This window comes from Homo sapiens, chromosome X (genome assembly GCF_000001405.40).
Source record: "Homo sapiens chromosome X, GRCh38.p14 Primary Assembly".
NCBI lineage: Eukaryota > Metazoa > Chordata > Mammalia > Primates > Hominidae > Homo > Homo sapiens.
Genome location: NC_000023.11, coordinates 40,262,432 through 40,289,225, shown reverse-complemented (window position 1 = coordinate 40,289,225; position 26,794 = coordinate 40,262,432). Strand labels below are relative to the sequence as shown.

The window sequence follows — 26,794 nt, the reverse complement described above, 5'->3', positions numbered from 1 at the left end:
CTGGAGAAGATAAAGGTAAATGCCACTATGTATAAGGAGCAGGTTTTATTGGGGAAGTTTTCAAGTAAACACTCGGCAGCATGAAGCACAGCCCATTGTGATCCAGGGAAGTGGCCCATGCCTCCCCACCCTGGTTCACCATCTTTTAATTGTGTAAGCTTGGAGTGGCTTTGCATACAGGGAATAAACAGTCAGGATATGGGAGCAAACATGCTGGAAAAAGGAGAGCCCTCAGTCCAGAACAATTTGGGTTTGTCACAGCCACTTCAACTAGGGGGAAGGAGGGACTCTCATCTCAAGCAGGCAACATGAGAAAGGTTCTGGAGTCATCACTGGACCATTCTGCTTGTCACTCTACAAAATGTTTGCAACATACATCACAGACAAAATGTTACTATCACCAATAAGCATAGAGTTTCTATAAATTAATTAGAAAAATAGTCTAATAAGAAATAAGCAAAATATAGGAACACAAATCACAGATGAAGAAGTATAAAAGACCCATAGACATACAAAAAGATGCTTGATTTTGCCCAATGATAAGGAGAATGCAAAATTAAAACCACAATGAAATACTATTTTTAACTTGTTTGATTGGCAGAAAAATGTAAACAATTTACAATAACCAGTGTTGGTGGGAGAGTAAGTTGGTTCAGCATTTTTTGAAAAGCAAGCAATTTGACAGTATCTCTCACAATTATAAGTACATAAATCCTCTGTGCACAATACCCCTTAGAGAAATCAATATTTCAGAAAAACACAGAAGCTCAGAGACATGAACCCATTCATTCCAAAAATATTTATTACATGCTATTCCAGGGGCTAGGGATGTAACAGTGAAAAAAATCCCTGCTGACATCCTAGTTGGGTAGGCAGTTAAAAACCTGTGGGCAAATGAGATGCCATTAGACTCACCAAGGATGCCACAAGTAAAAAGACCGATTATGTCAAGTGTTGATAAAAATATGGAGTAACTGGAACTCTCATACTTTGCTGGTATGTAAAAAATTTGTCAGTTTCTTATGAAGTTAAATATACACATCATATAACCCAGTGATATGGTTAAGCTTTGTGTCCCCACCCAAATCTCATCATGAATTGTAATCCCCATTATCCCCATAATCCCCATATGTCAAGGGAGAGACCAGGCAGAGTAATTGAATCATGGGGGCAGTTTCCCCCATGCTGTTCTCATGATAGTGAGTGAGTTCTCAAGAGATCTGATGGTTTTATAAGGGGATCTTTCCCCTTCAGTTGGCACTTCTCCTTCCTGCCACCTTGCGAAGAAGATGCCTTGCTTCCCCTTCACCTTCTGCCATGATTATAAGTTTCCTGAGGCCTCCCCAGCCGTACTGAACTGTGAGTCAATTAAACCTCTTTCCTTTATAAATTACCCAGTCTCGGGAAGTTCTTTATAGCAGTATGAAAATGGACTAATATACCCAGTAATAGCACTCTTAGATATTTACCGAAAAGAAATAAAAACGTATGTCCACAAAATCTTGTACATAAACATCCATAGCAGTTTTATTCATAGTAGCCCCAAACAATAAACAGTCCAAATGTCCAGCAACGGGAGAATGAATAAACAAATTGTGATACATCATACAGTGGTATACAATTCAGTGAGAAAAAGAAATTAACTATAGATATACACAACAACATGGAAGAACTTCAAAAATATTATGCTAAAATAGTGTGTAGTCACATAAAAATCTATCCTATATGATTCCATTCATATGAAATACCAGAAAAGACAAAAATTGATTGATAGTGGCAAAGCAAATCAATGCTTGCCAGGGGCTGGGGGGTGAGAGGAGGGAACTGGCTGCACAGGGGGCACATCTCTGGGGTGATTAAAATGTTCTATAGGCCGGGCGCAGTGGCTCATGCCTGTAATCCCAGCACTTTGGGAGGCCGAGGAGGGGGGATCACCTGAGGTCAGGAGCTCGAGACCAGCCTGGCCAGCATGGTGAAACCCTGTCTCTACTAAAAATACAAAAATTAGCTGGGCGTGGTGGCAGGTGCCTGTAATCCCAGCTACTCAGGAGGCTGAGGCAGGAGAATCGCTTGAACCTGGGAGGCGGAAGTTTCAGTGAGCCGGGATCATGCCATTGCACTCCAGCCTGGGTGACAAGAGAGAGACTTCGTCTCAAAAAAAAAAAAAAAAAAAGTTCTATACTTCGATTATGGTGGTGGTTTCGTGGGCTACATTCGTCAAAGCTCATCAAACTGTATACTTAAAATAGGTACATATTATTGTACGTATGTAAATTACACATCCACAAAAGATGCCAGGCATGGTGGCTCATGCTTGTAATCCCGGAACTTTGGAAGGCTGAGGCACTAGGATCGCTTGAGCCCAGGAGTTTGAGACCAGCCTTGACAACATAGTGAGACCCTGTCTCTACAAAAAAAAAAAAAAAAACAACTTTTTAAATTAGCCAGGAGTGGTGGTGTGTGCCTGTGGTCCCAGCTACTCAGGTGGCTGAAGTGGGAGGATTGCTTAAGCCCAGGAGGTCAAGGCTGCAGTGAGCCATGATCACTCCACTGCACTCCAGCCTGGGCAAGAGAGTGAGACCCTATCTCAAAAAATGAATAAATTACATAAATAAAAAGTAATAAGAAAAAAGTATATATGTAAATTATACATCCATAAAGGTGATTAAAAGAAAACGTGTGGGTGGATTTTTGCCCATATATGGCACAGTCCAACCCATGAAACTCTCTGAAGACAACAGCATGGGTTCTTACCTCAGGACCTGCAAATATGGCACCAAGTATCATACTAGAATGTGTGAGAGACACTGAGCTCCACAGTCACACAGATGGGGACACAAAGGGACACCTGTCAGTAAATACACACATTTGCTCTCTCTCTCTCTCTCTCTGGAAGTGCAAGAGAGTGTTTTGATCAGAGGCAGCAGATGTGAACTGAAATAGTGCCTCTCTATGTTAGGGACACATTGCCCTAAAGCTGAATCCAAGTTTTTAAAAATATACCTAATTATGTGTCATCCCATGGCTCATGTGTCTAACCAAAGTTGCTACTGTCTTGGTTACCTATTATTGCATGGTGCCCCAATCCTAGTGGCTTAGTACCACAACTTATTATTATCTCTCACAGTTCTATGAGTTGACTGGGCTCAGCTGGTGGATTTTCATTCCTGGTTTCTCATGTGGTTGCAGTCAGGTGTCAGCTGGGGCTGGAGTCATCTGAAGGTTTAACCAAGCTGGATGTCCAAGATAGCTCACTCACAAGACTGGTAGTTGATGTTGGCTGCCGGCTGGGAACTTAACTGTGGCTGTTGACTACGATGCCTTATATGTGGTGTCTGCATGTAGATTGGGCTTCTTACAGCATGGTGGCTGGGTTCCAAGAAGGAGTATCCCAAGAGCAAGTGTTCTTCACAGGCCAGGTGGAAGTTGCAAGGCTTTCTGTGACCTCACCTTTCAGGTCACACAGTCTGTCTTCCACATCATTCTATCAGTCAAAACAGTCACAGAACTCACTCAGATTCAAAGGAGGGGAGAAATTGTCTCCTCTACTTGATGGAGAAGTGGCAGATTATACAGCAGAAAAGTGTGTGGGATATTGTTGCAGCCACCTTTTGAAAATGCAATCAGTCCCAGCTCTATAATGAAACCTCTTTTTCCCTTAGTCTTCAATGTAGAATTTTTCATTGGGCTCCAACAACTTTAGGGAAAAAGGTTTGGGAAAAGCAGGATTACATTGGTGGTCAGCCAACTATATCTGCATTGTTATATATACACTGGGCCTTGCTATATTTACACTAGTATTAGTACGCAGTGCAGAAGTTGGTGTCCCCAAATAGCTGTTTACTTTTCCTCTGCAGCCCCTAAAGTGCTTAGTCATTTCTTTTGTACTCTACGACTCCCTCTGCTATTAGCCCTCACTATTTCCTTGGGATCTGCCTAATCCAAAATATATTTCTCTGGGCCATACCTGACTCTACCTTCTCAGCTCCCAGCATTTCACTCTCCACTCACCATTTTTTTTTTTCACATCAGATGGATAATGTGCTGACATCATAACAAGGTTTGAGGGAGGTACATCTCACACAATAGCATGAAAACATAATCAACATACTTATGAACCATAAAAGGATCTACACCACTCACTGCTACCCAGAAATTTACAATGTCTTGTAGAGCTGGGCTGCAATGGCTCATTTAACCAATAGGTGGTAATGTAACATTTGACTTGGGCCTGTATATTAGGGAGAGTGGGGTGGGATGATGTTGAGGAGAAAGGAGGGTGGCAGGAGAAGTATCTAACGTACTCCTGTGTCCCAGCTGGACATTTTCAAGTTTAAAATTATAATTGTTTTAAAATATCCTTTTTGTTGGGTTTTAGAGTTTGACAATACTGGCTTCCTTGCAAACAAAGGACATCAATGACAGCTGTACTGAATGTACTAGAAAGAGTCTTGATAATGTAAGATTTCATCCAATATTTCCAATCGTTTTGGCGTCAGTCAACAAACCATAAAGGATAACCCTGCCAAGGGCACTCTATCAGGCCCTCAAAGTGGGTCATGATAAGGAATAAATGAAATCCCTACTTTCAAGCTGCCAACATGGTAACTTTCAAGGAACCTACAAGACTGATCATGTATAATCAACTTAAATATGCCAACTGCAGGGCTAAGGTGTGGGGCAGTTGATGACCATAATTGCCCTAGCAGAGGAGAAAAGGGGAGGGAATAATGAGGAGGGGGGCAGAGTCAGAAAGCCAAGGGGAAACTGGTTGTTGATGCCTGTGAGATACAGTGGGCAAAATGTCAGAGGAAAATGGTGGGGGTTGGCAGGGGAGGGAAACAAAGAGTGCAAAGAGTGTTGTAGGAAAAGACAGGCTTGGCTTGAATGGAGAGTGCAGACCCTGATTTTGAATTATAAGATGTTAGTACTGACAGGAATCCCAGAGACCATCCAGCCCAAAACTAGGGCCACCATCAGTGAGAGGTGCACCCGCAACAGAATGCACTGCCCTGACTTCCACATTAGAATTCTCTCCAAGTGTTCGGCCAGGATGATGTAACACAGGCAAAGAAAACAGTTATTAGTCAAAATTTCCAAGAGGCAATAACCTCTTTTCTTTTTTCATTGAATCCAATTAAGTTTGCCAATTCCCTGAGTGACCTTGGGGAGGTTGCTCCTCCTCTCTGAGCCTCATTTCTTTATCTTATCAAGGGCTTACTGTATGCCTTGCAGGTTCTTGGTGCTTTACATGTGTTAACTCATTTAGTCCCCCACTAGAGTCCCATGATGCAACGACAATTATTGCCATCCCCACCTTACAGATGAGGAAACTGAGGCAGAGGTTAGTAACTTGTCCAAGGTCATACTGCTAGTAAGCGGTGGAGTCAGTTTCAAACTGGGGCTATGTGGCTTCAAGTCTGTGCTCCCAACCACCAGGTAATCCTGCTTCTCAGCTGGCAAGGTTGGACTAGATGCCCTCCAAGGTCCCTTCTGTCCCACTTCTGGCACAGAAGTGTTAAAGGTCTACCCATTTACTTCCTCTGGAATTAGTCAGGGAGAACCCAGAGTTAAATTCTCTTATGTAGGTACAACAAGAATGACAGAATGTACCCAGTGCCAAAGACACAGGCCAGCCACAGTCCTCTCATCTACTGAAATTTTGAGGTCAATTTCTTCAAGTCCCTAAGAAAATCCTCTCTGAATAGCGGTGTATCCTTCTGCTTTCTGGCACATTTTGCAACTCCAGACATCACGGAAGCAGCCAACAGGCACCATCAGAATCCTGAAAAGAGAGAAAAGTATGTGGCGGGGCGGGGGGGTGGCGATGATAGAACTTGCCGTTTTTAATCCATCCATCTCTGTTGCTGTTTCTCTCAGTGTCTGTTCTTTTGCATAAAGGGTCTACTTTTCCAAATGTGATTTTAAACTGCAGCAGAGAGAAAACAAAATAAACACAGAATGGTCGGCTGAGGGCCCGCACTTTCTATTCCCTGGTTACAAAGTAAAATTAGCTAGCTGGTGGCCAGGGCCTGGAGATTTATTTTGGTCTGAAGTCAACCCACAGATTAACAATATTGGCAAGAACTACATAGGAGGGGAAAATATTTTGGACAAGGCTGCATATGTTTGCAGATACATCATCTCCCTCTGCGCAACGGCCAAGGTTACAGAGAATAGGAGTCAGGAGCAGGCTGCCTTGTGTCCCTCCTGTGAGCCATCATTCCCCTCTGCATGATGCCAACTCATGCCCTCTGGGAGCAGTTGCACTGTGCTTTGAAGGACTCAGCGAAGGTAGACGGGTAAGGACACTCCAGATCTGGTAGAAGAGGGGTTCTTTCATCTTTTCTTTCCCCCTTTCTTCCAAGGCCCACATTCCATTCCAAGGGTAATTCTCAAGCAACAGCTATTTCCGGATTCTCAAGGACTAGCAGAGGGTAGTGTCAGAAAAAATTAACCCAAATTGGAAATAGGCAAAAGAGATTATTGGGTGTTCTTGCAGTGCAAAGCTGGGCTTGCACTCTTGATTGCCCCTGCAGGGGCAGAGGTTAACTTTTACATTTTTGTCCGATAGAAATGCAAATAATTTCCAACCCAGCCATCTCATCCTAACATTCTTCTATTAAATTGCCTATAAATACTAGTTACTCCCATTTTCATGGGTATAAGTTTTAACATCTTGCAGGTTTCTTCATTAATTAATGAGCTAAATCAAATCTTTGACGTGATCATTTTATATTTGCATGAGAGTCAAGCTTTTTAAACTTTTGAAAATTCTATTTTAACAAAAAAATGTTTGTCTCTGTTGACATGACGTTTTTCTCCTGCCTTCTTGTTATCCCAACTCAAGCCGATAGGCCAATATCCCAAACTCCTCCTGGTGAACTCCAGATACAGACAGCCGGCAGGCATCCCTGCCCGCTTCCTGGATATGTGCCTGCAGATGAAACCCTAGTCTCTTTGCCCACTCATCTCTGCCTTTCACTGGAGTGTGCTGAGCCTTCAAGGAAGAACCACGGGTAGAGAGAAGTTTCCAGGACACACAGGAGTTACAAACCCTCTTCTCTCTTCTAGATGTTCATGGGATTGGGGAAAGTATGTCATCAATTCTTTGAGGAAATTTTTGCATCCTCAAATTGGGAGCAGTCATTTCCACATTGCATATCTCACAGGGGGTTTCTAAAGTGCTTCTCAAACTTTAATGTGCATATGAGTCACTGGGGGATCTTCTTAAAACGCAGATTTGGATTCAGCAGGTCTAGAGTGGGCCTTTCTAACAGCCCCCTGGGTGATGGTGAAGCTGCTGCTGCTGGTCTGCAGGCCCTACTTTGAGTAGCAAAGCTCTGAGGCTGATGTGAGAGCCTGCCCTTCAAAACCACAGGGGACAGCATAAATATACTGAGACACCCTTGGGAATTATAATTTACACTTAGACTCCACTCTCACAAAGCATGGGGCCCAAAGGTCTGAAGAAATACCAGGAACCAACATCTCCTAAGCCTATTGTGTGCCTGGCAGGGTGCCCTAAGCCCATTACATACATGCCTGATCTCACTTCATCTTCACCACCAGCCCATGAGGAAAGAAACGATCAGAAGTGTGATTTTACCAAAAAGGAAACTGAGGCCCAGAGAGGTGGAGTAAACAGCCCAGCACTAGTCACATAGCAACGCCGACTTTTGGAGCCAGTTCTAGCTGAGCTCTAACCACATTACCACACAGCTTCCTCCTTCCACCACAACCTTGCAGGGCTAGGCTCCTTGGTCAAATCTGTAGGGGATTTTGAAAGGGAAAAGGGAGAACTTACCTCCTTTCCATGTGGTCTCCATTCTCCTAGTGATTCCCTGGATAATTCCTTCACTGTCTTTCACTGCAGCTGCCAGACAGAGGGAGGGAGGAACTTTCTACTAATTTCAGAGTAGACAAATGCTCTTAGAGAAACTACTATTTGCCTAGCTTTGTTACCCGAAAGGGGTCCCGATCTAGACCCCAAGAGAGGGTTCTTGCATTTCACGCTAGAAAGAATTCGAGGCGAGTCCACAGAGCAAAGTGAAAGCAAGTTTATTAAGAAAGTAGAGGAATAAAAGAATGGCTACCCCATATATACCCCATATAGCCTTGGGGCTGCTGGTTGCCCATTTTTATGGTTATTTCTTGATGATATGCTAAACAAGGGGTGGATTATTCATGCCTCCTCTTTTTAGACCATATAGGGTAACTTCCTGATGTTGCCATGGCGTTTGTAAACTGTCACGGTGCTGGTGGGAGTGTATCAGTGAGGAGGACCAGAGTTCACTCTGGTGGCCATCTTGGTTTTGGTGGGTTTCAGCTGGCTTCTTTGCTGCAACCTGTTTTATCAGCAAGTCTTCATGACCTGTATCTTGTGTTGACCTCCTATCGCATCCTGTGACTTAGAATGCCTAACCGTCTGGGAGGCCAGGCGCGGTGGCTCACGCCTGTAATCCCAGCCCTTTGGGAGGCCTAGGCGGGTGGATCACGAGGTCAGGAGATCGAGACCATCCTGGCTAACACGGTGAAACCCCGTCTCTACTAAAAATACAAAAAATTAGCCGGGCATGGTGGCGGGCGCCTGTAGTTCTAGCTACTCGGGAGGCTGAGGCAGGAGAATGGCTTGAACCAGGGAGGCAGAGGTTGCAGTGAGCCGAGATTGCACCACTGCACTCCAGCCTGGGCGACAGAGCAAGACTCCGTCTCAAAAAAAAAAAAAAAAAAAAAAAAAGAATGCCTAACCGTCTGGGAATGCAGCCTAGTAGGTTTTCAGCCTTATTTTACCGAGCCCCTATTCAACGTCGAGTTGCTCTGCTTCAAACACCTCTGACAGCTTGATCATTGGTCTTGGAGGAGAATGTGGAAAAATTCAAAGAACCAAAATAGATTCCTGCCCTCAAGGAATTTATACTCCAAAGGAGAGCTATCATACACATGCATTATTGCAATGCAAATTCAGATCGGTCCTGCCAGGACTTTTGTGTAGGGAATACCTCTCTCCTCTCTGCAGGGCCCCTGCAGAACTTTTGGTCTGTAAAGGTAACCCTTCAGAACTTTCTTTTACTGGACTGGGGGTGGGGGGAGGACAAAGCAGATGGCGGATGGGGGCGGGGCTGAGGGGGTGAAGGGAGAGCAATGAATGGCAATTAGCGTCTGTTTCAGTTGATGGTGTGTGCTCCCAGGGACCCAGGGACTGGGTGCTCCTTTGCCAAATGTAAATATCAAACCAATAAATGCTAATGTAGCATGAAAAAGTGCTGATTTGGGAGAAAGTTCCAATCATTTAGAGAGCTTGTCACAGAAAGTGCTTAGGTGTTCCGGAGGCAAAGGGAGCTGAGGAAGGAAATAAGAGGCTGGAATTAATAGCTCCTCTCTGGGTCCTGGTACTACCCTGGCCACCTATTCCTGGAAGAGGGAATGGACAAAGAAGGGCGTGGTAGGGGGAGGGGAGGTCCTTGCAGTGCGGTGGGGACAATAAACAAAACAAAACCAGAATGGTGAGGTCAAGTTCATGAACATCTGGCACCAGAAGAGGGAGATAGCAGAGAGGCCTGTTATCAAGTTATCTGTGAACTTGACACTTGCCTTGATGGGCCTTTGCCCATGATCCTTGTCGTCCTGATGGTCTGCCTTCAGGGACCTGTTTCTGATTGATGATTCTGATCTTGGTGACCCTCCCCTCCACTTTCAGCCCATCATACTACTCACACTCTTAACACACTTCTCTCAGGGTCCCCCACCCAAAAACCCAGAGATGCCTGCAACTTCACCTGAAGCCTGCCACACCTGCCCACCTCACAGAGGAGCTCTGCAAATACTTGTGAACTGGATTCAATAGAAATAGCTCTTAAGGGAGCTATGAGACTAGAACGCAGGAAAGTGTGTTGGAGAGAAGACTTGGCTAGGGATTAGGACCACTGGGTTCCAGGCCTGGCTCTGCCATCTCCTTGGCCTGAGAGAAGATACCCTACCTCTCTGAGCCTTGAGGCCTCAGTGGCTTCATCTGTAGAATGGGGATAATTCCCACTGGGACAATTAAATGAGACAAAGATATATGTGCAACTGCTTGGTAACCTGCAAATCTAGAGAGTCATTACTGCGTGTTTCTCAGCAGAGTCGGTTGCCTAGGAGACAAGCCGCAGTGGGGACCTCACCCCAGACAGGCTGCAGCCAGACTCCCTGTGTGAATGACATCATGGCCCAAACTCTGCCGGGCCCCAGGCTTTCTGGAGTCTCTTTCTGGTCCCAGGACACTGAGTAAACACCTTAAGCCTCCTTAAACACAGCTGCCTCTAAACATTCAGAGGGAAAACCACTCACCCACCCGTCCCACCTCCTCCCCTCTAATCTAATCTGGACATCTAGTCTGGTCAGATTTACATCTAAATATCTCTCCCCGGTGCGTCTTTCCTTCCCTTACATCATCGCTTTCTCAGGGCTGTGGCTTTGGTTCAGCTCTCTGCTTCATTTTCTTCACCCCAGCCCCATTTTCCTTCTTGTGGCTGCCTCAGTTATCACCGTCCTTTGATTCGGCTTTAAAATACCATAAACTGGGTGGCTTATAAACAACAGAAATTTATTGCTCACAGTTCTGGAGGCTGTTCCGGTCTCACCTGTCCCTATCCTCACAGCCCATCCCTGCTGTTCAGCAGCCCCAGAACCTGTTCCTTATCTGCCCACCCCAGGGCCTTTGCACATGCTACTTAACCAGAACAGCAACTTTGACCAGTCCTTCTTGGCCCAGCTGGAACACTGGGCTCCTCAGCTATCCTTTGCAGGATGTGAGCTCCTTCCTATATGCTCTCTCCTTTCTCGTAGGGCCCACACAACCCTCTGCCTTGTGGAACAGTTATTTGGGTTTCTATGAGTGTGGACTCTATTAGAATGTACTCAGAAGCCCAAGGCTGAGCTCTAGAAGGAAAGTCTCTGGCAAGGAGGGGCAGCGGGGCCTGAGACTTGGCAGGCCTGAATTTTCTCTTTCCCCCAAGGTTCTCCCAATCAGAGGTGTGTGGATCTTCTTTAAAACCGGAGTTCACTGCCAACATAGGCAGAGACACCAAAAGACCTTGCAGAAGAATGTAAAGAACTAGGACAGAATACTTAAGGCAGCTCTCAGTCTTTGGAACCTCACAGAATGCTCTGGGCCAGGCATCAGGCTGAGCTCTGGAGATCTAGCAGGACTAAGACAGACGCAGATTCTGCCATCATGGAGAAGCCCTGCTCTAGGGGATGCCAGCCATCATGCCTAGAGGACACTTACACAGCCCTGCAGAGGGCCCGTGTGAAGAGAACTGAGGCTCCCAGCCAACAGCCACATGAGTGAACCACCTCTGAAGCTAAGCCTTCAGAGAATTGCACCCGAGCCAATTTCTGAAGCCAACCTCTTGAGAGATCCTAAGCCACCCTGCCCAGCCAAGCTCTGGATTCTGAGTCACAGGAACAAGGGCAGTTGTTTTTGTTTGTTTGTTTGTTTGTTTTAAAAAAGACTTTCATTATTTTAAGCCACTAAATTTTGGGGTGATTTGTTACCCAGACACATCTAATACTATGCCACAGATCATTGGACTCTGATTGGATAAGGGGTGGGGAAGTCATCATGATATCATGATGGCAGCTACCATCCCTTGAATGCCCACTCTGTGCCAGCCACTCTACTATAACTTGACCCACTGTACGTAACCTCCTCCTTACAAAGATCCTGGCAGGGCACGGTGGCTCACACCTGTAATCTCAGCACTTTGGGAGGCCAAGGTGGGTGGATCACGAGGTCAGGAGATCGAGACCATCCTGGCTAACACAGTGAAACCCCGTTTCTACTAAAAATATAAAAAATTAGCTGAGCGTGGTGGCAGGTGCCCGTAGTCCCAGCTCTTCAGGAGGCTGAGGCAGGAGAATGGCGTGAACCCGGAAGGTGGAGCTTGCAGTGAGCCAAGATCGAGCCACTGTACTCCAGCCTGGGCAATGGAGCGAGACTCCACCTCAAAAAAAAAAAAAAAATCCTGAGACAGGGCTTATCATTCCCAATTTAGACGTAAGGCACACAAGTGTCAAGCCACTTGTCCAAGCCACACAGTCAGTAAGTGGCAGAGCTCTCTCTGGCACCATCCTCTGGGACACTGTCCCATGGGCCTGTGTGAAGAACCACCTTTCCTAGATTCATCTCTTCCTCCTTGTGTGTCCCCGTCAGCTTGGGCTTGGGCCAGTGTCTTAGTCTGTTCAGGTTGCCATAAAAAAATACCATAAACTGGGTGGCTTATAAACAACAGAAATTTATTGCTCACAGTTCTGGAGGCTGGAAAGTCCAAGATCGAGGCACCAGCAGATTCAGTGTCTAGTGAGGGTCCTCTGTGTCATAGATGGCACCTTCTATGTGTGAGGACATGGTGGAAGGGACAAATAAGCTCCCTTGGGCCTCTTTTATAAGGGCACTAATCCCATGAGGGCAGAGCCCTCATGAACTGATCATTTCCCAAAGGCCCATCCTCTGGGCCTTTGGTATTAGTATTTCTTAATACTATTGCACTGGGGATTAGTATTAACAAATGAATTTTAGGGGGACACAAATGTTTATACCATTGCAGCCAGCAAGCTATGATTAGGGCAGAACAAGCATTGTCTAACAAAGATAGCTCTGTAGGATGCCCTGGGCCCTAATTCCTCCCACCCCCACTGCTCCCACCCATCAAAGACAAAAGCTTTAGGAAATTGTCATGCATGGCAGACTGTATTTCCCAAGAAGGGCTGCAACAATATCATCCACCTCATGTGCTCTTTAACAATGTGACATTGACATTCTCCACTGACATTGAGAAATGAGGTCTGTGTCCCATTCCCTTGAATCCAGGCAGGCTTGTGACTCGTTCAATCAACACCATGGAAGTTCCCAAGACTGGGTCATAAGAGCCCATGCAGCTTCCGCTGCGTTTCTTGGAACAATCACACTTGAAGCCCTGAGTTGCCATGTAAGAAGTCCCACTATGCTAAGGCTGCCATGCTGTGAGGAAGCCCAAGCTACATGGAGAGGTCACCTGAAAACTCTTCAATCCACAGTCCAAGTGTTTGAGTCCTCCTAGTCCAGGCACCAGACATGTAAATGCTGGAACCTTCAGATGACCCCAGCTCCTAAGCATCACATCATCTCTGATCTTTGAGTCTTTCCAGCTGAGCCCTCAGATATCGCAGGGCACAGTCAAGCCATCCCCTATTGTGCCCTGCACAAATTCCTGACCCAGAGAGTCCATAAGCATAATGAAATGTTTGTTTGAAGTCACTAAATTTTGGAGTAACTTGTTATGTAGCAACAATAACTGGAACAATATACCATAAGAAGTGGGTGGAAGGTTGGGTCAGTCAGTGGGTCCCCGCAACCTACACGTTCAGATTCGCCACCACTGCTTCTCAGCTCTGAAAACCAGAAACCTCCATCCCCCTTATACTACTATCCCCACTTACCACTGAGAACTGAAACCACATTATTCCTTCTCCCTGGGATTCTCACCCCCTGATATTAACTCATTGTGCAGTCACCTCCCACATTAAATGAGGCCAAGCTATATAACCAATAAGATAGTGTATAAATGATAAACTGAGACTTCAAGGTTAGGTGATAAAAGACATTGTGGGCTCAGTCTGGCTCTCTTTTGAGTCACTTGCTCTCAGGGAAGCCAGCTACCATGCCATAAGGGCACTCAAGCAGTCCCATTGGACAGGCCCACATGGCAAGAAACCGAGCCCTCCTGCCAACAGCCAACAACATTGCACCATCTATGTGAGCGAGCCACCTTGAAAGTGGGTATACTTCAGCCCCAGGAAAGCTTTCAGATGACTGTTGGAAGTGCCGGCCAACACCCTGGCTGCAACCTCATGAGACACCCCAAGCCAGGACCACCCAGCTAAGCCACTCTCAAATTCCTAACTCTCAGAAACTATGAGATAATAAATGTTTATTGTTTTAAGTCACAAAGTTTTGGGGTAATTTGTTATTCCCTGTCCCTATGTTAAACAATACTGGGACCAGGCATATGCTCATGTCCCCATGTTTAAATAATACTGAAAACAAGCAAAAATAACTTAGCTACTTGCCCTAAGAAATACTTGCTTCTGAAAGATAAGATGGAACCAACTAAAATAACTTGTTGTCAAGACCAACAGCTAGCTAGCCAATCAAGGGTTACTACAGCACTTTGGCCTTGCTGTGTTCAAGAGCCGAAAGCTATTTCTTCATAAACTCTCCCCAGTCCAAATTTCTTGCCTTGAAAGACCCAATTTGCAAATCACCTAGTCTGGGCTCTAAAACACTATAAATACATGTCCCCAGTTTCCCCACTTTGAGACGCTAGTAACATTCTGTCAAGGGGGCTCTTTCTTATTGAAGCAGGTCTAATAAACTTAGCACTGCTTGATTTTTTCTGATGGTCTTTTTTGGGGAGTTGATAGTCAACATTATATACCCTGCAAACTGGGACTTCCACTCCTGGGTGTTTTGTTTGTTTGTTTGTTTGTTTTGAGATGGAGTCTCGCTCTGTTGCCCAGGCTGGAGTACAGTGGCCTGATCTCGGCTCACTGCAAGCTCCACCTCCTGGGTTCACGCCATTCTCCTGCCTCAGCCTCCCAAGCAGCTGGGACTACAGGCGCCCACCACCACGCTTGGCTAATTTTTTTGTATTTTCAGTAGAGACAGGGTTTCACCGTGTTAGCCAGGATGGTCTCGATCTCCTGACCTCTTGATCCGCCCGCCTCAGCCTCCCAAAGTGCTGGGATTACAGGCGTGAGCCACTGCGTCCAGCCTGTTTGTTTGTTTTTATAGATAGGGTCTTGCTCTGTCCCCCAGGCTGGAGTACAGTGGGTCGATCATAGCTCACTGCAGTCTCAACCTCCTGGGCTCAAGCAATCCTCCTGCCTCAGCCTCCCAAGCAACTGTGTCTAAAGGTGTGCGACACCACACCCAGCTACTTCTTAAAAATTTTTGGTAGAGATGAGGTCTCGAACTCCTGGCCTTAAGCAATCCTCCTGCCTCAGCCTCCCAAGCAACTGTGTCTAAAGGTGTGCGACACCACACCCAGCTACTTCTTAAAAATTTTTGGTAGAGATGAGGTCTCGAACTCCTGGCCTTAAGCAATCCTCACGCCTCAGCCTCCCAAAGTGCTGGGATTACAGAAGTCAGCCACCGTGCCCGGCCTTCTTATGGGTTTTATTTGTTCATCTGTCTTTGTGCCGTCCCACTTGCCCACTAGCCACATGTGGCTACTTCAATTAAAGTCAAAGAAAATATAAAATTCACTTCCTCAGTCACACCAGCCACATCTCAAGTGCTCAGTAACCACATGTGGCTGGTGGCTCCCCTGTTGGACAGCACAGATAGAAAACCTTTCCATGCTCACAGAGGGTTCTGTCGGACAGCGCTGCTCTGGGGGAAAGTGGGTCATTTGCTTCAGAGGATGGCTGCCCCCAAGGAAGCTCTCCGCAGACAAGTTGGGGGGCGGCTGCAAACTGGGTGCTGGCCGCTTCCCAGAGCAAAATGGACTGCCAAGCTGGCCCCTCCTAGGCTCGACACGTGTCTGCAGGCATGACTCCACCAGGCAGGCCCTTCCTCCTCTGGCTTGCAGGAAACCATCAAGCTTTAGACTCATGGTGCACACAGGCATGCTTATTTCTGGGAGTGCACGTGATTTCCGCAGAGCAGCCCTGGCTCAGCTGGGAAGGAAGATAGATGGTCTGCAATCAACACACCGCCTCCCTCACCAACCCAAGGGCCTGCAGCTGCGCTTGTTTTCTGATTTCAGGTCTGATAAGTGGCCTGCTGGCCGTCAGAATCTCCTAGCCAAGTCTCCAGGGTCTTTGTCATCCCCCAGCTTGGAGACCTGGGGAGAAGTTGGGGAGGAAACCATGGCTTCCCTATGTGGCACCCTTAGATACAGGACTGGACCAAAGTGTGAATTAGAAATTAATCAAATCATCGGACATTTTTCCTTTTCTTTTTTTTTTTTTTGGCTTTGAGAATTTTTATTTCTTCCATGGTAACTCTTCCTGGTTGGAGAATGTCATTTAAAATAATTCTGTCTTTAAAACTGTGGGATGAGGGGAAGGAAAATGTCACCTCCAACCAGGTCCTCACCATGCAAATCAAGGACATTTCAAAATGCTGGCAATCTGCTAGAGGACTTCAAAGGTGTCCAGGTCCAATTACACTTCATTTGGGGTGTGAATTGAGGAACTCTGGGGGAGGTGGCCGGGGTGGAACGTGTCAGGGTCGATACTGTGGTAATGAACCTAGGCCTTTGTTCCTGGGAGCCCAGCTGCTGACAAGTGGGCTGTTTCCTGAAGGGCGGAGGTGTTTCTGTGTCCCCCACCAGGTGCGGGAAACAGGGTAGAGACTGTCGCTGCCATTAAAAAAAAAAAATCATTTTAGGGTGGTCTTTTCTTTCTCTTTGCTTTTAAAGACCAAAGGTTGATCACAACTTAAAATTAAAGGGGGTGGAGGGAGCCTGCAGCCTAGGTCAACATCTAAATCTTTTCAAGTCCTAGAGTTACCCACACTATGGGTCTCACACAATTTGTTTGAATTGGGGTCTGGGGAATTACTCTTCTCTAACTTATGACTTGGGTGCTGCTGCAATTTCTGTGGCAGAATATGTTTGGATGGACATGGGAAGAGGCCTGAGGAAAGAGGTCCTTAGCATTCATTCTGGAATGCTTTAAAAATAACGTTCTTTTAAAAACGATTTTGGTTTTGCTGGCTAGTTAGAATGGAACTGACTGGCCGTTTGGGAAACTCAGCCCTGTGTGGGCAAGGCTGATGGCTTAAGGGCATTCAAGAATGATTCATGCAAGTTCTTCTAGTCCAAAACACCCCTCGAAAAGACACAACATATTCAGAAATCTCAGATAAGGCTGGGTAGGAGCAGGTCTGCCGGGTAGATTTCAGCAGGGTGCGTAAGAGCAATCAATCTACTGCAAGTGCGAATCGGGATCAAAAGCCGGCCTCTCCCACTTGCTGGGATGCTTATGCAATTCATTATTTTATGTCCTTGGTTTCTTTTTTCAAATGCAGATACCCCAGAAAGGTAACACATTCAGTTACGCACACTTTAGTGCAAATGCATTCATCAGAAACTTTTTTTTTTTTTGAGACGGAGTTTCGCTCTTTCACCCAGGCTGGAGCACAGTGGCGTGACCTCGCCTCACTCCAACGTCCGCCTCCCGGGTTCAAGCGATTCTCTTGCCTCAGCCTCCTGAGTAGCTGGGATTACAGGCGCCCACCATCACACCCGGCTAATTTTTGTATTTTTAATAGAGATGGGGTTTCATCATGTTGGCCAGGCTGGTCTCAAACTCCTGACCTTGTGATCCGCCTGCCTCGGCCTCCCAAAGTGCTGGGATTACAGGTGTGAGCCAGCGTGCCCGGCCAAGAAACATTTTAAATGGCAGTGGAACCTGGGTGAAGCTGCCTGTGAGCAGGGAAGAAAAAAGTACGGATGCTGGAGCCACCCCCTGCAGATGCCATTTCCTAGGGTGAAGCCCTAGCGTCAATATTATTTTTTAAAGCTCCCCAGCTGGTGTCAATATGCAGCCAAGTTGAGAACCCCAGGAGAGAGAATCGAGGCTGAAAGAGGATGGATGGATGGACGGGAAGAATCAAAAGAAAAAACAGCTTCTCTTTTTTTTTTTCTTTTTTTAGAGATGGGGGTCTTGCTGTGTTGGCCAGGCTGCTCTCAAACATCTGGCCTCAAGAGATCCTCCCTCCTCGGTCTCCCAAAGTGCTGGGATTACAGGCATGAGCCACCACGCTCGGCCCACATAATTCCTCCAATGAAAGACCCAGGTTTGAGTCCTGGCACTCCACTTGATGGCAGCTTGATCCTGGTAGAGTTACTTATCCCCCTCTGAACTGCATTTTCTTCATCTGTTAAATAGGGATAATACACTTAATAAACAGTGATTCTCAAACTTGAATGGGCGTCAGAATCACCTGGAGGGCTTCTTAAAACACAGATCCCCGGGCCTCAGCCCATCTCCAAAGAGTATGACTCAGCCAGTCTGGTGTGAGCCCCCAACATCTGTGTTTCTAACAAGCTTCCCAGTGATGCTGCTGGGCCAGGACCATGCTTCGAGAACCACTGATATCAGGGGCAGTTGAACTGGTTATTATTAGCTCACAAATTTAATCCACAGATGAGACCTGAAACCAATGGCAACACCCCGTTCTCTCTTAAAAGGGGTCAAGAGCCAAATAGGGCTTGAACTTGCATACAAATATTCACCAGGTTTTAGCATTTTGCTGTGATGTAGCCCACCTTCAAACCTGAGGCTGAAGCCACCAATGGACCATTATGGTGAAGACTGCTCTGGAAGCAGAATTGTGCCTGGTCCGCAAAGACCCACCCACCCTAGAAAAAAGCACCTCTGCCCCCTGTCATTCCAAAGAGGCCTGGCCTGGTCTTTCTGGAGCCTGCTGTGCCCTGGGACCTGGTCACTAAAAGCAGGTGTAACAGATTAAAGCTGCTGTGTCCCCTGAGGGGGTGAGCCCTGCCTTCTGAAGCACAATTTACACTGTGAAACCACGAGTTGAGGGGAGCGGGAGGGGGCACATTTCCTCTTTAAAAATGCTCAAAGTCTTTCAGCTGATGCTCAGAGCAGGGCTGGCCTAGGCAAGGGTTTGAAGTAGGAAAGGTCACTATTTGTCTTTTTTTTTTTTCTCCTTGAGACAGAGTTTCGCTCTGTCGCCCAAGCTGGAGTGCAATGGGGTGATCTCGGCTCACTGCAGCCTCCACCTCCTGAATTCAAGCAAGTCTCCTGCCTCAGCCTCCCAAGTAGCTGGGATCACAGGTGTGGGCGTGCACCACCACACCTGGCTAATTTTTGTATTTTTAGTACACCATGTTGGCCAGGCTGGTCTTGAACTCCTGACCTCAAGTGATCCACCCGCCTTGGCCTCCCAAAGTGCTGGGATTACAGGTTTGAGCCACTGCGCTCAGCCACTACTTGTCATTTATGCTCTATTCCCATCCCAGCCACCCACCCCTGCTTCTCCTGTCCCACAGCCTGGCCTCCTTGTGTCTCCAGCCTGGGATCGCTGCCTGTCTCTGCCCCAGACTATCCCTTACTCCTCCTATCAAAATGCTATCAGGTGGAGAGCAGTGGTTCATGCCTGTAATCCCAATACTTTGGGAGGCCGAGATGGGAGGATCACTTGAGCTCAGGAGTTTGAGACCACCTTGGGTCTCTACAAAAAAAAAAAATTATTTTAATTATCCAGGCATGGTGGAATGCACCTGTAGTCCCAGTTATTCTGCCCATATGGGTTGCATCTTCCATTTGAGAGCCTCTCACCCTAAGTCTCACAGTCACCAGTACCCTGGCTTCCAGGACAAACCTGGATGATTTCCCCCCAGGCTTAAAGGAAGACTAGAGACTTAAAGGAAGCTGGACTTTTATGAAAAACTCATTGTGGGTGGGGGGCCCAGAGACTTAAAGGAAGCTGGACTTTTATGAAAAACTCATTGTGGGTGGGGGGCCAAAAATTAACTAGGCATGAAGAACCTGGGAGATACCAGATTATTCTGGCTCACTAGGGCTTTACACTTATCTGGCCACAGCTGGGACATACTCCCTTCTCCCTGGACCGTGCAGTCTGGGCCCACCTCACCCCCAGTGTGGGCCACCTATTATGATGCCCCCCAAAATGGTGTCAATTCAAGAGTACCTGCTTCTCTAGGGTCTAGGCTTTGGGGGCCCAACTTATCACAACTTGAAGTTACTGTTTTAAAATTTATCTTATTTATTTGTTAATTGTGTCATCTGTTAACATGTTATAGCTCCATAGGACAATCACTGGCGGTCTTATTTACTGTTAAAGCACCAGCCCTAGCCCAGTAGTTGGAATATTTTGATTGCATGTATGGGTGGATAGCTGAGATGGATGCAAGGATGGAGGGATGGATGGATGGATGAACGGATGGGTGGATGGGTGGATGGGTGGATGGGTGGGTGGATGGATTGGCCCCCACATAGTACCAAGGTACTTCTCCTGTAAATACCACAAACCTAGACCAGCAGTTCTCAAACCTTTAGGTCTTGGGACTCCTTGACTTTTTTATTTATTATTGAGGACTCCAAAATGCTTTTGGTTATATTGGTCTTGTCAGTATTTCCCACATTAAAAATGAAAAAAGGAACATTTTTAATATTTATATATTAATTGATCTAAAAATAACAATTATGAATATATTACATGTGTGGTGGGCAGCCTCTAAGATGGTGCCCAGTAATTCCCACCTTCTGTCACCCACACCCTTGAGTAATTCCCTCCCCTTGAACGCTAGCTGGACTTACAGACTCACTCCTAATAGATCTATTGTCCTATAGGGATGTGGCTTCCAAAATTGGATTACAAAAAGACTGTGCCTTCTGTCTTGGGTGCCCTCTTTTCTCTCTCTAGGAGGAGCCAGCTGCCTTGTCACGAGGCAGCCCTGTGGAGAGGGCCTCGTGGCAAGAAACCCAGGCCTGCCAGCAGCCACATGAGTGAGTCTGGAGGTGGATCTTTCCCCGGCTGAGCTTTGAGATGCTCCTACCCCTGGAACACACCCTGATTAGTCTCCTAAGAGACCCTGAGCCAGAACCACCCAGCTAAGCTGCTCCCAGATTCCTGACCCACAGAAACTGTGTGAGATAATAAATGTCTGTTGTTTTCAGCCACTAAGTTTTGGGGGTAACTTGTTACACAGCAATGGATAAAATACATGGTAACATCGATAGCACAATTTTATTAAAAAATAACCGTATTTTCCAAAACAAACAAAAAAGTTTAGGGAGAAAAGTGGCATCGTTTTTACATTTTTGCAAACCTCTTTAATATCTGGCTTAATTGAAAACAGCTGCTTCCTCATAGGGGCTTGGGCATCCAATGCGTTGTGATACATTGTTTTGGTTGAAGAAAATCCAGCCTAATGGAGCTTTGCAGTTAGAAAAGGACAGTCTGAAAAGGGCTCAGGGAACCACAGGGATCCTCAGACCACACTTTGGGAACTGCTGACCTAGACAATCATAGACCCCAAAAGATTCTAATTCTAGGGCCCTCACTTCCCAATCTTGGTTTCCTGTTTGGGACCTTTGCCATTTCTCCAGGTGCCCAAGTGACTTAGTGGTGATGGAGGCCACCCAGGAGGTCTGGTCCCCTGCCAAAAAGGATAAGTCCTCTGAGGCCTAAAAGCAGAAGACACTGATGAACTAACCCTCAGTCTTGGCTGTGTCATGCCCAAGATGTCACACAGAGGGGAAAGGATGCCTCTGACATCCAAGGTGAAGGTTGAGGCATCTGGAGTCGGGGAGGGCAGGGGAGCTTGTTCTCTGCGCATTGACAGCTTCCGGGACACTGGGGTTTGCCAGATCCATGGGGATTTCCCCCTCTCCTTCCCTTTCCTGCGCGTGTCCCACTACCCCCAACCCCCGTGAAGTTTAGGGCCTGTTTTCAGCCGGAGCCGGTCTAATTTTCGCTGCCTAGTTGGTCAGAGAAACGCACGCAGCTGTAGCAAAGCATAAAAATAGCTTCCTCCGTGACCAATTTCTTCCCACTTCCCTTTCTCTCTCTCCATGCTCGCCTCCCCGTCCCCACCTTCTGTGGAAGCAGGAAGGTCCCTGGAGGGTGCCAGCACTATTGAGACATGCCATGCGCCCCAGCTTCCCTCCCAAACAACACATGTTCCTGATTCTATTTTGCCCTGGTCCCCCGCAGGCTCGCACAGGCTTCCCTGGGGACCGGGCGTTGTCAGATGGGTCCCCGCGGGCCCAGTGTCCGTCCACCTCGTTGGGCAGACTTCCTCTCCCGCGCACAGCCCCCCAGACATCTGCACGCCGAGTGCTCGCCAGCGGCACTGGGATCTGGGGTCCCAGCCTAGCCCGGAGCCAGCCAAAGGCCTGCCCGCGAGGGATCCGGATCTTCTGGCACCTTAGAGGTTAAATGGGAAGCCTCCAGCTGGAAGGAAAAAACGCCCCGGTGCTATGCGCGGAGGCTCCAGGCGGTGTCCCCAGCGTCCCGGGCTTCCTCTGCGCCGGGCGGCTGCGCGTCCCGGATGCGTCCGCGGCAGAAGATGGAATCCGAAAGTGGGCATTCGTCTTTCTAGTTTGGAAGCAGGGGAAGACAATCAAACCTGCAGCAGCTCAGCTCCCCAACGCGAAGGTCTAGCCAGCCTTGGGCAGGGGAGCGTTTCTAGAAATGTCTACACCCGGAGCCACCGGCGGGAACCAGGAGGGCGGGGTATGGCCCGCACCTGCCCTGCCTCTCTTCCCTGAGCCTTTGGGACCATGCGGGAGAGAGGACAGGCCACCTATCGTATTTCAGGAGTGGCTTGTAGGGTCCAAGGGCCGTTTGCCTCCCTCTACTGCAGTTTGGAAACAGAATAAACCGCCCCAGCAAAACCCGGCGAACTTGTCCAAACCACACAAAAGTTCAAACCACACAAACTCCAACTGGGCACCGACGCAGGACTGGCTTTATCTGTCCGCAGAGGGCTTTGCTCTGCCTCGCAATTGATTAGGGCTCCTGAAAACCACTGAAACAGTTTATCTCACCCACCCAGCCTCAAGCCCCCTGATGGGCTGGAGTGGAGCCTGGATTGTTCTGGCAGCCAACCCCAGACCAGCTTCCACCCAGCTTGGCGGCCCCCTGGGCCACCTGCCTGGTTCCTCACTCCACAGAGGGTCCCCATTTTGTGGCAGAAAATCGAATGACAGCAAGAGGGTGAGATGGGAAGATGAGGGAGTTGGATCTATGAGGGGAGAGAAGCATTCTGTCCACTGAACAGGGTGGGGGGGGCTTTCCAAGATCCCCCCTTTACTTTCACACCCTTTCTCCAGTTCTGTTCCTCTCCTTTCACGGCACCCAGCGCCCTTCTGCACGGGTGGCCCAGTCCTCCAAGCCCAGCCTTGTCTTTTGAACTTCTCCCCAAGCAACCTGTCCCTGTACAATTTACATCCTCTCAGTTGTTTTCTCTCGAAACTCTTAACTCAGGCGGCCAATGCCATGGCCATGAGAACATTCTTCACCACAGAAAGCAAGATCCTTTGTCAGCCTGTTCTTCATGGGAGGGGAAGGGAAGGTTTTGTAAATATCAAGTGGAGATTAACTGGGGGAGGAGTCAGGAATTAAACAACGTGCTTTTTTTTTTTTTTTTTTGAGACAGAGTCTTGCTTTGTCACCCAGGCTGGAGTGCAGTGGCACCATCTCTGCTCACTGCAACTTCCGCTTCCCGAGTTTAAGCGATTCTCCTGCCTCAGCCTCCCAAGTAGCTGAGATTAGAGGTGCACGCCACCACGCCCAGCTAAATTTTTTTGGGGGGGGCGGGGACGGAGTCTCGCTCTGTTGCCCAGGCTGGAGTACAGTGGCGCAATCCCTGCAACCTCCGCCTGCCGGGTTCAAGCAATTCTCTTGCCTCAGCCTTCTGAGTAGCTGGGACTACAGGCGCATGACACCACCCCTGCTAATTTTTGTATTTTTAGTATAGACAGGGTTTCACCATGTTGGCCAGGCTGGTCTCGAACTCTTGGCCTCAAGTAATCTGCCTGCCTCTGCCTCCTAAAGTGCTGGGATTATAGGTGTGAGCCATCGCACCCAGCTAATTTTTGTATTTTTAGTAGAGACGGGGTTTCACCATGTTGGCCAGGCTGGTCTGGAACTCCTGACCTCAAGTGATCCACCCACCTCGGCCTCCCAAAGTACTGGGATTACAGGCATGAGCTACCACGCCCAGCCTAAACAGTGCACTTCAACACGAACTAGTAACGATCATGGTGGAGCACAGTCACAGACGGGGGAGGATCTCTGGCAGCTGACCTTCTGGGCTCACACCAGGAAGCCTGTCACCTTTCCCAGCTGCCTGTGCCATGCCTGTGGTGCCAGTCATTGCTCTAATGGTAGGCAGGGAGGCAGAACTCCCCCTGAATAAGTACAAGGACCTGATGAGCCTTTGAAAGCAGGCGACCCACTCAATCTGAATTCTTTCAGGTTGTTTCCTGCCCCAACAACTGTATGTAAAACAACTGGCTGAGAGCTTGTACAAATTAGGGTGGCTTGTCACAGGGTTTCTATCACATTTAGTCACCTCTGAAAAAAGAGACCCGTTTTTGTAAAACACCTAGCAGACCGGGCGCCGTGGCTCACGCCTGTAATCCCAGCACTTTGGGAGGCCGAGGCGGGCAGATCACGAGGTCAGGAGATTGAGACCATCCTGGCTAGTACAGTGAAACCCAGTCTCTACTAAAAATACAAAAAATTAGCCGGGCGTGGTGGTGGGCGCTTGTAGTCCCAGCTACTCGGGAGGCTGAGGCAGGAGAATGGCCTAAACCCAGGAGGTGGAGCTTGCAGTGAGCCGAGATAGTGCCACTGCACTCCAGCCTGGGCGACAGAGCGAGACTCCGCCTCAAAAAGAAAAAAGAAAAAGAAAAACACCTAGCATACATAAAGGGCTTTACCATCTCATTTCATTCCATCAATGAGCAAATGGGGGTTACCCTGACAGCAGTTGGAGTTCAATTGCAGGGAAGAGAGAACCTCTCCAGCTATTTTAAGCAAGAAGAGATTTAACACAGGAAATTAGGTGCTGACAAAATTATTGGAAGGGTGCAGGAGGAGCAGTCTCTGGACTCCCAAAACAACACCACTGAACTGGTCTGCCAAGACTACTGCCATCTCTGCCACCATCAGGAAGGTGAGGCGTGAGGGAGCCTGCCTCTAGAAATGTAGATTTCCAGAGTGCACTACCATAGCTGCGATCCAAGGATCAGGAAGCCACTGCCACCACAACCCCTCTCAACACCCACAAAGCCGGTAACTGAGCAAACACTAGAATGTTGTTACACACACACACACACACACACACACACACACACACACACCTCTAGCAGGTACAGCCAGACTTCACACGATTGCATCTAACTGGTGAAACTGAATTCTCATCCACAGTCCCAGCTGCAAAGGTGTCTGGGAAATCCAGTTTTTAGCCTTCCAGTCTCTGCAGACCATGGGGGCACCATAGGACGAGGTTGGAAGGGAGGCTGTGTGCCTGCCACCATGCCTACATTTTGCAGATAAGGAAACTAAGGTTCAGAGAGGTTAAAGAACACATCCAAGGGCACATGGCTGGTAAACCCCAATCTCCCTGACTCCAAAACCCATACTTTCAATCATTATATTGAGCAAACAGCCCCATTCCATTTGGGGCTTTGGCAGTCTTGGGGCATCTTTCGGCCAGAGGGCCCACACGACAGCAGAAGCTAGCACACACCTTCTGCATGCTCAAAGGCTGGACAGTGGGCACTGAGGCACAACTGAGGCCCCGGGGTTGTGAATAGCTTATCTCAGGTTGACAGACAGAGGAGACTCATAATCGAACCCAGGGTTCCTAACTCCACGTATACTTCCTGACCTCACCTCCCTGCCCCCCGACATCGACATCTGGAGGAGGGGGAATACACACGCAGGCTGTCTCTGGAGACATGTTTCTTCAACACTCAGCTGCCCTGCATTTTTCTAGGTGAGGTATCTAGCCTCCAGCCTCTCCTCCCACGTTTGGAGAATCCTTCATCTTCCTAGTTGCCTCCCACCAGAAAAGCTAAAAATCCCAGATAGGGGCACTTTCCCAGCCGCCATTGCAGTTGGTATAGGCTCTTACCTTAGGCTCAATCCATCAGATGCCCCCATCAAAGGCTTGGAGTTGGGAACTAATAATACAGAGATGCAAGGAGCACAGAAGTCCATTCTGGTGGATGGTGGCAGTCGCCAAGTCAATGGCATTCCAGTTCCTGGGGCGACAGGGACCATATCCACGTCCCAAGGTGGCAGTGTATGCCAGGGAGTCCTGGATTTGGCAGCGAGGTCATCCCTGGATTGCCTGACTTTGGCTGTGGTCCTGACTGCTGTGCAGCCTCCTTGGTCGACTCACCAACTGTATTCTTCAGCCCTCTTGGTTATTTTGTGAGTTCCCCAAGATCCTTTTGATAAAGTCCTTTTCTGCTTAAATAAGCCAGAATTGTTTCCTGTTGCTTGGGAGCCAAGAGCTCCGGCTGTTACAGCTGAGCCGCTAGATTTTGCCTGGCTTCCCTCAGCGAGACCACACAGGACACTGCTAATTCTTGGATCCCTCAGGCATCCCAGTCCACTTCCTGGGAGCTCCCATATCCCAGGACCTTGGCCTGCTGATCTTACATTAAGAGAACTGGCCTGGTCTGACAGAGGGTCCCACATCCATCCTGGACAGCTTCATGGTGATGTTCCTGGGTCCCATCTCAGACTCTCCCCATCAAAGGCTTTCTCATTGACCATGACCTTTCCCTAGGCACAAGTGAGAGCTCCTCCCTCCCCGCTGCCCCACACCTCCCCACAGTCACCAGTTTGGCATCCAGAAAACATTTCCTCCTTCTCCAGAGACCTTGCTCTTTGTCAGCCTTCACTCCTAGCTGAAGCAAAACAGCTGTGGGCCCTGCTCAGACTCCAAAAATGCAGGCTGGGAGCTCTGGGGCCTCTGCAAGAATAATGGCTGAAAGCAGTGCCCCAGGTTCAAGGCCCCGGCTTTGCTGTCAAGATAGGGTGTGAATAAATGGCTTACTCTCTTGGGGCCTTGAAAAGAGAGGAGAGTGAGGGCCTAGCCATAGCAAAGCGAGCACTGCTCACTGTCAACACTGAACTGGAAGCAGGGAAGGACTGTGAGGAGGGCGTTCCTCACCTAGGTTTGGGGCCTGGGGTCAAAACAGTGGGCGGAATTGCCCGGGGCGTCATCCAGCCAGAGGCAGATAG

At 48.0% G+C, this 26,794-nt stretch overlaps 1 long non-coding RNA gene and 1 other non-coding gene across 2 annotated transcripts, besides 3 other annotated features; both read right to left on the bottom strand.

Annotated features, from left to right (window-relative positions):
* Positions 1-1,504: 1,504 nt before the first annotated feature.
* On the bottom strand, positions 1,505-26,309 carry LINC03099 (long intergenic non-protein coding RNA 3099). Its single transcript, NR_110386.1, has 3 exons — positions 25,674-26,309; positions 5,614-5,785; positions 1,505-3,697 (listed from the first exon to the last, which is right to left on the bottom strand). It is a non-coding gene; the product is annotated as a long intergenic non-protein coding RNA 3099 (long non-coding RNA).
* On the bottom strand, positions 4,027-4,130 carry LOC124905275 (small nucleolar RNA U13). The gene has a single exon (XR_007068438.1). It is a non-coding gene; the product is annotated as a small nucleolar RNA U13 (small nucleolar RNA).
* Positions 9,396-9,690: a silencer, noted in NCBI's record as "tiled region #4836; HepG2 Repressive non-DNase unmatched - State 24:Quies, and K562 Repressive DNase matched - State 7:EnhWF". NCBI's record gives its function as "represses a minimal TATA promoter and a strong SV40 promoter by Sharpr-MPRA in HepG2 and K562 cells {active_cell/tissue: HepG2 | K562}" and the evidence as "EXISTENCE:reporter gene assay evidence [ECO:0000049][PMID:27701403]".
* Positions 21,216-21,265: an enhancer, noted in NCBI's record as "active region_29539". NCBI's record gives its function as "activates an Ori minimal core promoter by ATAC-STARR-seq in GM12878 lymphoblastoid cells {active_cell/tissue: GM12878}" and the evidence as "EXISTENCE:reporter gene assay evidence [ECO:0000049][PMID:35858748]".
* Positions 21,296-21,395: an enhancer, noted in NCBI's record as "active region_29538". NCBI's record gives its function as "activates an Ori minimal core promoter by ATAC-STARR-seq in GM12878 lymphoblastoid cells {active_cell/tissue: GM12878}" and the evidence as "EXISTENCE:reporter gene assay evidence [ECO:0000049][PMID:35858748]".
* Positions 26,310-26,794: the final 485 nt, after the last annotated feature.